The 11895-nt window shown below is 47.5% G+C and overlaps 1 protein-coding gene across 38 annotated transcripts in view; it reads right to left on the bottom strand.

Annotated features, from left to right (window-relative positions):
* Positions 1–207: 207 nt before the first annotated feature.
* IL15RA (interleukin 15 receptor subunit alpha) overlaps positions 208–11895 on the bottom strand; it is a 29842-nt gene continuing 18154 nt past the window's right edge. For 12 of the 38 annotated variants that reach the window (XM_011519474.3, XM_011519471.3, XM_011519464.3 and 9 more), the window contains 4 exons: positions 11675–11875; positions 11062–11094; positions 7687–7762; positions 208–548 (listed from right to left, as the gene is read on the bottom strand). In XM_011519474.3, coding sequence (XP_011517776.1) covers positions 263–548; positions 7687–7762; positions 11062–11094; positions 11675–11875 — 596 coding nt within the window. In that variant the 3' untranslated portion in view covers positions 208–262. Of the gene's footprint in view, positions 626–3678; positions 4635–7686; positions 7763–11061; positions 11095–11674; positions 11876–11895 lie in introns of those variants that run through there. The other 26 variants (XM_047425191.1, XM_047425184.1, XM_047425182.1 and 23 more) reach the window with 6 other exon arrangements.

Here is an 11895-nt window from a genome sequence, read left to right on the forward strand (position 1 = left end):
AAATAGCTGGGATTACAGACGCTCACCACCACGCCAGGCTAATTTTTGTGTTTTTAGTAGAGATGGGGTTTCACCATGTTGGCCAGGCTGGTCTCAATTTCCTGACCTCAGGTGATCCACCCGCCTCGGCCTCCCAAAGTACTGGGATTACAGGCATGAGCCACCCTGCCCGGCCATCCTTGGTGATTCTTTTAATGCATTTTAAAATATTGAAAATATATATTTTATTTTGTTTATACAAGGCACAATGTCAAAATACAAATCATATATAATGTGTAGATATAACAGACAAGGAAGTATAAATGCATATATATGTAAAATGGCGCTGAGATGAGTTTTCTTCTTCCTGAATCCTTCGATGGAGAGGATTCACTGGGCTTAGCATCTCCTCCACCTTTTCCGGCTCCCTGTCAGTGCGTGCAGCACAGCTGGAGACAGGGTCATTGGGAGGAGCCCAAACGCTGGTGTCTTCCCTATAGACATCTCCCACGCCAGGAGGAGCCTTGTAATTGACAGAGAGCCTCAGGTATGTCACTTTTCTCTGTGAGCTGCAAGTCAGGATGAGGGACGGACGGTTTCAGGAGAGGAGGAGGTGTTTCATCCTGAATAGCTAAGAACAGCACCACTAGAATGGGTGGATTTACAGTCACTTAGGGAAGTAAAGTGTCAATTAAATCCCCCGGTAATATAGTGCCTAATATTACCTAAAATATGCACACATTGAGTTCTGATTAGTGCCTAGCAGTGTGAGGTGGGGGAGGCTGTGATTTGGGTCGGGCTGGTCCTGCCTGCAAGGAGCACAGCCCTGGGGTGAGACAAACCCGCAGTACTCGGGGAGTCCGCTCTGTGCTGTGAAATTCCAAGCCAGGAGGTGGCAGCCTCAGCCAAGAGGAAGAAGTCCTTGGGGAACAGGGGGGTGAGCAGTGAGAAACAGGGTGTCTTTTGATCCCTGCTCTCCCACTTCCTAATGTCTGAAGAAGGGTTTAAACGGGGAAAGTCACACCACAAGATATATTTTAAAAAGTTAGGCAGGAAGAAAATGGAAATCTGCATCTATACAAGGGAATAAAGAACGTAAGTGGTTTTAAAAAAGTGGTGGGGGGAGTTAAGAGTCTTATTTCTTGCCAGGCACGGTGGCTCAAGCCTGTAATCCCAGCACTTTGGAGGCTGAGGCGGTTGGATCACCTGAGGTCAGGAGTTCGAGACCAGCCTGGCCAACATGGTGAAACACTGTCTCTGCCAAAAATACAAAAATTAGCCAGGTGTGGTGGTGTACGCTTGTAATCCCAGCTACTTGGGAGGCTGAGGCAGGAGGATCACTTGAACCCAGGAGGTGGAGGTTGCAGTGAGCTGAGATTGCACCATTGCACTCCAGCCTGGACAGCAGAGCAAGACTCTGTCTCAAAAAAAAAGTCTTATTTCTTGATCAAGAAAAATCAAGGCAAAATATAAAAGGTGAAGAGTAATCCTTTTTCTTCAAGGCAAATGTGTAGGGCAGGGAAGGAGAGAAGAGGAGGAGATGTGAATCATTTAGACTTGTGGCAGCTGAAGACGTGGGGACTGAAGGCCTCACAGCTATAGAACTTTCTTTTTTTATTTTGGACTCAGGAGAACATGTACAGGTTGTTACACGGGTATATTGTGTGATGCTGAGATTTAGAATACGGTGCTCCCATCACCCTTCAGAGTTCTGTGTACTCTTTCCATTTCAACATAAAAATAAAAAAGGACGGACTCTTCCCAGCACCTGGCAGATGCTGACCTCCTGGTCATTCTGCCCATTCATTCACCCAAATATTTGCTGGCATTTACTGAGTGCTGAGGACTGAAAGGCAATTGCACTTCCTGATGGCCCTGAAAGGTACAGTGGATGGGTGCCAAAGGACCTGTGTTGATTCCTTCCTTCCCTTTCATCATTCCTGGCCGCTTGAACCTGGGCCAGCCTTGTGACTCGCTTCGACGGATAGAATGCCACAAAAGTGATGCGTGCCAGTGTCTGGACCAGCCTGTCAGGGGCCTGGCAGTTTCTATGTTCTTTCAGCCAGTGTGACTAGCCTGAGCCCACCGTGCTGTGAGGAAGCCCAAGCAGCCACGTGGAGAAGCCTCCTCTGATTTTGATGAAGGCATCTAAGCTGAAGGCAGGCAGATATCGGTGAAAAAAATGGTCAGGTGTGGTGGCTCATGCCTGTAATCCCAGCACTTTGGGAGGCCGAGGCAGGCAGACTGCTTGGGCTCACAAGTTCAAGAGACCATCCTGGCCATCATGGCAAAACCCTGGCTCTACTAAAAATACAAAAAATTAGGCGGGCATGGTGGTGGGCACCTGTAGTCCCAGCTACTCGGGAAGGCTGAGGCAGGAGAATGGCATGGACCCAGGAGGCGGAGCTTGCAGTGAGCCGAGATTGTGCCACTGCACTCCAGCCTGGGCGACAGAGCAAGACTCAGTCTCAAAAAAAAAAAAAAAAAAAAAAAAAAAAAAAATATTAGCCAGGTGTTGTGGTGTGTGCCTGTGCCTGTAGTCCCAGCTACTCCAGAGGCTGAGGCATGAGAATTGCTTGAGGCGGAGGTTGCAGTGAGCCAAGATTGCATCACTGCACTCCAGCCTGGGTGACACAGTGAGACTCTGTCCCCTCCCCCACAAAAAAAGAAGTCAGTGAAAAATGGCACTTTGAGAATGTCTGATGACATGTGGATTGGGCACTATGCCCATGCCCCATCTCCCAAATGCTCACAGTGGCTCCCTCTTCCCCCTGGCTGTACAAGGGGCAGTTGGTGGCTGGTTTTCAGCCAGGACTGCTCCCCTCCCGCCCCACCTACACTTCTTATTACTTTTGTTTTTTAAAAAAATTTTGGCTGGGCGCCGTGGCTCACGCCTGTAATCCCAGTACTTTAGGAGGCCGAGGTGAGTGAATCACTTGAGATTAGGAGTTTGAGACCAGTCTGGCCAACATAGCAAAACCCTATCTCTACTAAGAAAATATAAATATTAGCAGGGTGTGGCGGCACATGCCTGTAGTTCCAGCTACTTGGGAGGCTGAGGTAGAATTGCTTGAACCTGGAAGGCAGAGGCTGCAGTGAGCTGAGATCTCGCCATTGCACTCCAGCCTGGGTGACAGAGCAAGACTGCTTCAAGAAAAAAATTTTTTTTATAGAGATGGGGTCTCACTATGTTGCCCAGGGTGTTCTTGAACTCCTGGGCTCGATCAATCCTCCTGCCTCGGCCTCCTGAAGTGCTGGGATCACAGGTGTGAGTCACTGCGCCCAGTGTCCCAGCTCCTGCTCTGATCCAGCTCTGGCATTAACCAAGCTTCATGGCTGCAGGCAGAACAATTTCTCCAGTCCTCAATTTCTCATCTATAAAATGAGGAGGTGGGGTTAGGCCCATGATTTTAGAAATAAATGTCAAAAACAGCAAAGAAAGTAAGAGAAGAAGAAGGGAAGAGACGATGTGTATACCACTGGGGAGCTGAGCCCAGACTTGCCACTGTGTGGATTAGATAATGCTGCTTCTCCTCACATGGAATTGTGGGAAATTCCCCAAAACTGTGACCGGAGCCAGCTTTAGGCAAGGCTTTTTCTCCTTCTGGAAAGAACACCTGAACTCAGTCACCTTGGACTCTGCCTTCCTACTCTTTCTCCTCCTTTATGTGGAACATTTCTCCTTGGTGATTCTCTTAATGCATTTTAAAAATATTGAAAATAGATGTTTTATTTTGTTTATACAAGGTACAATGTCAAAATACAAATAATATATAATGTATAGATATAATAGACAAGGAAGTATAAATATAAACGCATATATTCGTAAAATGGCACTGAGTTGAGTTTTCTTCTTCCTGAATCCTTCAATGGAGAGGATTCGCTGGGCTCAGCATCTCTCCCACCTTTCCCAGGTCCCTGTCCATGTGTGCAGAGCAGCTGGAGACAGGGTGGTTAGAAGCCCAAACGCTGGTGTCTTCCCTGTAGACGTCTCCCACGCCAGGAGAAGCCTTGTAATTGACAGAGAGCTTTGGGTATGTCACTTTTCTCTGTGAACTGAAAGTTAGGATGAGGGACGGAAGATTCGGGGCAGGGTTTTTATTTCATTACCACATGTATTCCAGGCAGCTCACACTGTAATGAAATAAAAATCCTGCTCAGAAGCCTTTGGTCTCTCCTGGGAAGCTGGGCCCTGGGTCCAAGGCACGACAGGCAGGCAGGTGGTGCCCATGGGAATGCGGAGAACCTGCTCCCTCGCGCAGGAGGCGCCGACCCGGCAGTCCGTGAGATCCTGCTGGGACTTCTGAGAGGCCTGGTGAGCTTGCTCCTGGAGCCCGCTTCCTTGCACCTCTTCTCAGTCGTCTTTAGCTAAAGCAGAGAGGCTCCTTCACTCCGGACTTAGCTGGGCTGGTTTCCCCGAGTTTCATAGGTGGTGAGAGCAGTTTTCCAAGTCTTCATCTCTGCTGCTGGTCCCCCAAGTCACCGGCAGAGCCTCCATGGCTTCCATTTCAACGCTGGCCAGCGGGGGAGTTTGCCTGCAAAGCAGGTGGTTCATAGGTTTTGAAAAGAGGAGGGGGTTGCCCTCAAATCAACAGACGCTTCCCACTGAGCATGTATGTCCAGCACTGCGGGGATGGCAGGAGCAGACAGAGGCCCTGCCACGGGAGTCAGACAGAGAGCACTTAGTCCTCAGAGATGGAGAGAACCTAGAATGCCTACCTCTACCGAGTGTATTAAATCCTATCTAGGGGCCAGGTGTGGTGGCGCATGCCTGTAATCCTAGCACTTTAGGAGGCTGTCGTGGGAGGATCGCTTGAGCCCAGAAGTTCAAGACCAACCAGGACAATATGATGAGAATAAATCCTCTCCAGGTATTTCCAACCTCCCCATCCACCAAAGACTCACCAAGTGCTGTTGGAGCAACTTACGCCACCCTGCCATCACCCCACGCTTTGCCAGTCCTCTGCCAAAAAGCCATTCAAATGGCAGGAACAAGAGAAGGAGAGAGTGACTGGGAGCCTAGCCAAACCAGAGTTGATCATCTTGAAAAAAGTGATTTAATATTCATGAAGCTTTTAAAAACAGTTCTTAGCACTTAGTATGTGTGAAATAAATAAAGAAATACACAAATCAATCAGCTCCCGAATGACAAGCACAGGCGAGGCAGGACACTGGTCATACGTGGCTGGCCTGTCTGGAGCTGCCTGGGTGCTGATGCCCTGGGCATCTGGCCGGCACCTTCTACCAGGGCTGGTGAAATGTCCCTCCGGAGGAGCAGCAGCTCTTTAGGCCATTTTAAGGTAAGCAGTGTGAGCTCCCTGGAGTGAGAGCTAAAATAAGGCAGGATGGGGGTCAATTCACTGACAATAATTTGCTAACAGCCAATTTGTCAAATGGCAAATCTAACTAATAACCCATTTGCAAAAAACAAGTTTATGGAAAGAATCAATTCACCAAATGACCAAGTAATTACACTCATCAAATTTACCAATTCTTCTTTTTTTTTTTTTTTTTTTCTGAGACAGGTTCTTGCTCTGTCTCCCAGGCTGGAGTGCAGTGGTGTGATGCTGGCTTGCTGCAGCCTCTGCAGACAACCACGCCCAGCTAACTTTTTGTATTTTTTGTAGAGATCAGGTTTCACCATGTTGGCCAGGCTGGTCACAAAAAAAGCGATGCATGCACTTCAGCCTCCCAAAGTGCTGGGATTACAGGTGTGAGCCACTATGCCCGACCATGCCAATTCTTCCTAAAGATATATTTATTTTACTTTTTGAGCTTTTTAAAAATTAGATTTTTTGTGTGTGGGGGGATGGGGTCTCACTATGTTGTCCAGGCTGGTCTCAAACTGCTAGGCTCAAGTAATCCTTCCACCTCAGCCTCCCAAAGTGCTGGGATTACAGGCATAAGCCACCATACCCAACTGAGATATCTTTCATATAGCCAGTAAATATTGCTATTTTCCTCTTATGAACATATTTATTGGCCGTATATACCAAATTTACAAATCCTTTTTAAGAATATATTTTAATGTATTATTCATAAAGAGATGGTATGTACATTTAAAAAATATATTCAGTGAATATATTTATTCATTATAACTGGTTAAGAATATAACTCCAAATTCAGCATTTTATATTGGAAATTCTGTAGTTATTAATAGTGATATTTTGAAAATTGTCTTAAAAGTCATTTTCTGTTTTGTCAACATTTTTCATTTTTTGAATTCTTTGGACAAATTTTTGAGTAACATATCAATGTTTGTTAATTTCTCAACTGTTTATAAGGTTTATGGCTTTTTTATTGGTCGGGATGGTATTCACAGCTTTTGAAGATTTATGTGAAGTTTTAGATACTGGTTTTCATTTTGACTTTATAGTAGCATTTCATGGAATGTGCATTTTGTCAAAATTAGGCTCAAAGGGTCACATAATTTTTTTTTTTTTTTGAGATGGAGTTTTGCTCTTGTTGCCCAGGCTGGAGTGCAATGGTGTGATCTTGGCTCACTGCAACCTCCGCCTCCCTGGTTCAAGCAATTCTCCTGTCTCAGCCTCCCTAGTAGCTGGCATTACAGGCATGCACCACCATGGCCTGCTTATTTTGTATTTTTAGTAGAGACAGGGTTTCTCCATGTTGGTCAGGCTGGTCTCGAACTCCTGACCTCACGCGATCTGCCTGCCTTGGCCTCCCGAAGTGCTGGGATTACAGGCATGAGCTACCGTGCCCAGCCAGGGTCACATAATTTTTATATTGATATCACATTTAGAAAAGAATGTTTTATAACTATTAATAGTAACTAAAAGTTTAGTTTGGACAAATCTGATATCCGTATCAGTATGGAATGCTGGAATACTGGTTACTAATTGATAGAAGTACAAAATGAAGGCTAGAATGCCATTTGAGGCTTTAATCAAAGAATAATAATACTGCCTAAAGATTAAAAAAATGAGAAAAATTAAAAAAGTTAGCAAGTGGCAGAAATATTTTTGCCAGAAATGCTGAGATGCAGAATTTCAATGATTAGAAATACAAAATTAAGGCTAACATGAATCAGTATATTTATAAGAAGGCATACCCCTATTCAATGAGGACTTTCAAGAATATATTCATGAGGGTATCACAAGAAGAATGGGTAGGACTGCACGCGTTGGCCACCTGGTGCACTTTCTCTGGCCGCCCCATTTCTACCATGAGCAGGGGTAGGGGGCACTTGGGCTTGGGCCTAGCTCACTGCTCCTCGGCTCTGGCACTCATTGGCTCCTAGAGAAGGGGTGTGTGAGAGCCGATGGCCAGGAAAGGCGTCCTTCTTGGGAGGGGGCATTCTGGAATCACTATGGTGGGGCTCTTTTCTTTTTCTTTTTTTTGAGACAGAGTCTTGCTCTGTTGCCCAGGTAGGAGTGCAGTGGCGCAATCTTGGCTCACTGCAACCTCCGCCTCCCGGGTTCAAGCGATTCTCCTGCCTCAGCCTCCCGAATAGCTGGGATTACAGGTGTGCACCACCAAGCTTAGCTAATTTTCATATTTTTAGTAGAGACGAGGTTCCACCACGTTGGCCAGGCTGGTCTCAAACTCCTGACCTCAAGTGATCTGCCCGCCTTGGCCTCCCAAAGTGCTGGAATTCCAGGCGTGAGCTACCGCGCCCGGCCAGGTGCAGCTCTTTTCTCATGGGGAAGTCTAACTCTTGCAGAGGGAGTATCCAGTGCAACTCACCTTGACTTGAGGTAGCATGCCAGGAGAGACACAGCGCTCAGCCCACACAGCAGGACAGTGGACGTGGAGATAGCCACTGAAAGGGAGGAGACCACGCTGAGATACCCAGAAGCACATTCATTGCTACGAACCACAAATTCTTTACCATGGATGTTCTTACAGAGGGATCCAAGTGCCTCCCAACCAGCCTCCTGCTAAGGACATTTCTTAAGGTCCATGCAATTCCCCCGATTCTATGTCTAGGCAAAAACACATTCTCTTTCCTGCTGAGGGTGCCAGCTCCCAGTCGTCCCACACCTCTGCTCCTCATCCTTGTCCTTCTCAGGCAGAGTGCCTGGGGTGACGGGGCAGGGACGGAGCAAGTCAGGAGGGAGCAGTAAGAGCCTCAAGGGCAAAGCCAAGAGTGCGATGAGGAGAGAGCATTCCTGCTGCTAAAGCCAGGGTTGAAAAAGCAGACAGGGACACACCCCTCCTCTGCTGTCCCCAGTACAACGCCCACTTTGCTTCAACTTCACAGATTTAGAAACAATAGCACACAGTGCCATTTTCCTTCCAATTTCATTTTTTTTTCACTTGCAATTTTTTTTTTTTTTTTTTTTGAGACAGGGTCTCCCTCTGTCACCTAGACTGGAGTGCAGAGGCACTATCTCGGCTCATTGCAACCTCTGCCTCCTGAACTCAAGTGATTCTCCTGCCTCAGCCTTCTGAGTAGCTGGGATTACAGGCACACACCACCACGCCTGGCTAATTTTTTGTATTTTCAGTAGAGACGGGGTTTCACCATGTTGGCCAGGCTAGTCTCAAACTCCTGACCTCAAGTGATCCACCTGCCTCAGCCTCCCAAAGTGCTGGGTTTACAGGCATGAGCCACTGCGTCCAGTCTACCTACAACTTTTTCTTTCTTTCTTTCTTTTTGAGATGAAGTGTCATTTTGTTGCCCAAACTGGAGTGCAGTGGCGTGATCTCAGCTCACTACAACCTCCAGCTCCAGTGTTCAAGCAATTCTCCTGCCTCAGCCTCCCGAGTAGCTGGGACTACAGGCAGGTGCCACCATGCCCGGCTAATTTTTGTATTTTTAGTAGAGACAGGGTTTCACTATGTTAGGCAGGCTGGTCTTGAACTCCTGACCTCGTGATCCGCCTGCCTTAGCCTCCCGAAGTGCTGGGATTACAGGCGTGAACCACCACGCCTGGCCAACTTTTTCTTTTCTTCTTCTTTTTTTTTTTTTTTCTGCGACGGAATCTCACTGTGTTGCCCAGGCTGGAGTGCAGCGGCTCGAGTTTGCTCACTGCAACCTCCCCCTCCCAGGTTCAAACGATTCTCCTACCTCAGCCTCCTGAGTAGCTGGGATTTCAGGCGCCTGCCACCACACCTGGCTAATTTTTGTATTTTTGGTAGAGATGGTGTTTTGCTATGTTGGCCAGGCTGGTCTCGAACTCCTGGCCTCAAGTGATCTGCCCACCTTGGCCTCCCAAAGTGTTGGAATTACAGGCATGAGCCACAGCGCCCGGCTGATTTTTTAATCTAATAAAAGTCATGAACTAGCAAAAGCAGATTATAGATTATAGCCCATCATCAAATAGTTGTTGGAAAATGTATATAGAAAAAATGACCCCTGAACTTTATATGTAGGATTTTATCCTACAGATGTTCTTGCACCTATGGATTTTCAATTAATGGCTGTTTGTAAGATAACAACAGAATGTAGCAATCACATGTCCAGATAGGGGGTTGGCTAAATTAATGGTAGGAATTCCATACAGTGGAATATTCTGTAGCTGTTAAAAACGATGAGATGGTTTTTGTGTCCTGATATGGGAGGATCTACAAGGTATACCAGCAAGTGGAAACAAACATGGTACAGAAAAGGAGAAAAGAAGCAACTGTCCAGCATTCCTTATCCTCTATATGTTTATTTATACAGTCTCTCTGGAAGGATGCCTGGAAATCTGGTAGCAAGTGTTGCTTCCTTCCTGCAAGGGGATTTTTGAGTTAGAAATGGGATTTGCTTTTCGTCTTTTTTTTGAGACAGGGTCCTGTCCTGTTGCCCAGGCCAGAGTGCAGTGGTGTGATCACAGCTCACTGCAACCTCTGCCTCCTGGGTTCCAGCAATTCTCCCACCTCAGCATCCCGAGTAGGTGGGACTACAGGCATGTGCCACCATGTCTGGCTAATTTTTTGTATTTTTAGTAAAGATGGGGTTTTGTCATGTTGTCCAGGCTGGTCTGGGACTCCTGGCCTCCAGTGATCAGCCCCCCTCGGCCTCCCAAACTGCTGGGATTATAGGTGTGAGCTACCTCGCCCAGCCTGATTGTTTTTTAAACGATTCTAATCAATTAACTGCTAAAATGTCCAAAGTCACTTGATGTTTTCCCAGATGACGTTTGATGCAGGTAAAAATGACACCACAAAAATATGAGTCATTCTCTAGCAGAAAAATTTATGAACAGAAGATTAAAATAATTTTTGTCCATATCAAATTACAGTTGGGTTTTTTGTTACTTTGGAAGCTTGTCAGCCTGGAGCATGACTTGCATTCTTCTCATTACCTGCGTTCTTCCTCCCTGCCTGCTTCCCTTCTTCCTCCTGTTCTCCCCTCCTCTCTCAGCTCTCCTCCCCTCCCTTCAGCTTTTTCTTTTAGTCTTGTAAACGCTTTCCCCTTTTCCTCCTTATCATCACTTGCACGTTCTCTTTTCTATTCTCCTAGCCTTAGCATTGCGTGTGACTTCTGTAAAGAGGAGCAGATTTTTGGTTTTATTTTGTTTTGTTAACTTTTTTTCTTTTTCTTTTTCTTTTTTTTTTTTTTTAATAGAGATGGGGTCTTGCTATGTTGACCAGGCTGGCCTCAAATTCTGGCCTCAAGCAATCCTCCCATTTCGGCCTCCCAAACTGCTGGGATTACAGGTGTGAGCCACCATGCCTGGCCAAGAGTAGCATTTTATACCGAAAATGTGGACAGCTTCTCTGTTAAGTGCACGGTGCCACGCCCTGGAGAGGAATTGGCAGCTTCTGGCAGAGATGCTGTAACGTCAGTGCTGGCATCAGCACCTGTAGTTTTGGATGCTCCATGCAAAAGAGGTGCACCCTGCTGTGAAGAGCTGACCTTGAGCCCTTATTTGGGGTGCCAGCTCTCTGGGTTCAACCCCAGTAGCCTGACAGCTAGAAGCTACCAATATTTAGAAAAATGGGCACATCAAACAGAGAATTCCATAAATCAGCTATTACTTAACTTATTATCTGATGGAGGCCTTCTGAGTGTGGAAGGGGCTGCTGTCAGGGCTGTGCTGGGGCAGCGGGCCTGGGCCAGGACCACCCAGCACCCTGGGACTGCGGTCACCCTGATCATAAACATACCGGACAAAGGGACACACTTACCAGTGGTGTCGCTGTGGCCCTGTGGATACACACCTGCGGAAAAGAGAGGACAGCATCACGGCTCGAGTCCTAGAGGTCCTAGTTCCTCATGAAGCAGGAGAAAATCTGCATGGCTTGGCTCCCATCTTAGCACCCTGGGAGACTCGTGGCTGGCGTAACCAGACTCATTTTAGCAAAGAACAAGCAGGGTAGCTCACTGAGGTGCTGGCCACACTTAAGAATCAGATAAGCCTTACAGAAGGTCCCCATTACCCTCAGCTCCTCCATTCCACAGATCCTGGCCCCGGACTGTAGGCAGCTTCACCACCTCCTACTGCAGGAGGGCACAGATGCCACTCCCAGCTGCACAGGCTCTGCCATGCGGGTGATAAGGCTGGCCCTGTCACATCTTGGGGGGGTGTGGGCTTGCTTTTGCAGCTGCCCCAGCCACAGAGAAAGCCACGGAGAAAGAGGTCAGGCCAGGACGCCGTGGCTGGTGGCCGGGGCCAGCAGGCTGCCCAGTGAATCCTGACTTTGGATTGATGGTATAAAGCTGCCTTGTGCCGGATCTCAGCCCCGATCTCAGAAGCAGCAATGGGGAACTGACCTCTCCTGGGGCAAAGCGAGTGCTAACCTGGCGGCTGGTGGGAGGCGGATGCTGTGAGTTCCCAGTTCTTGGCTGTTGTCTGAGAGGGGGTGCCGTGGGAGGACTCATGACTGCTTATCTCTGTGGTTCCTGTGGAAGGTGATTTTGAAGGCATCAGCTGGGAGCCCGGGACAATAGCTGCTGTTGTGGCCGCTGTGTTGTTTGAGCTGGGAGATGAAGCTGCGGGCTCTGTAGGAGAGTCCAAGGCA

Source organism: Homo sapiens, chromosome 10 (genome assembly GCF_000001405.40).
Source record: "Homo sapiens chromosome 10, GRCh38.p14 Primary Assembly".
NCBI classification, from domain to species: Eukaryota; Metazoa; Chordata; class Mammalia; order Primates; family Hominidae; genus Homo; species Homo sapiens.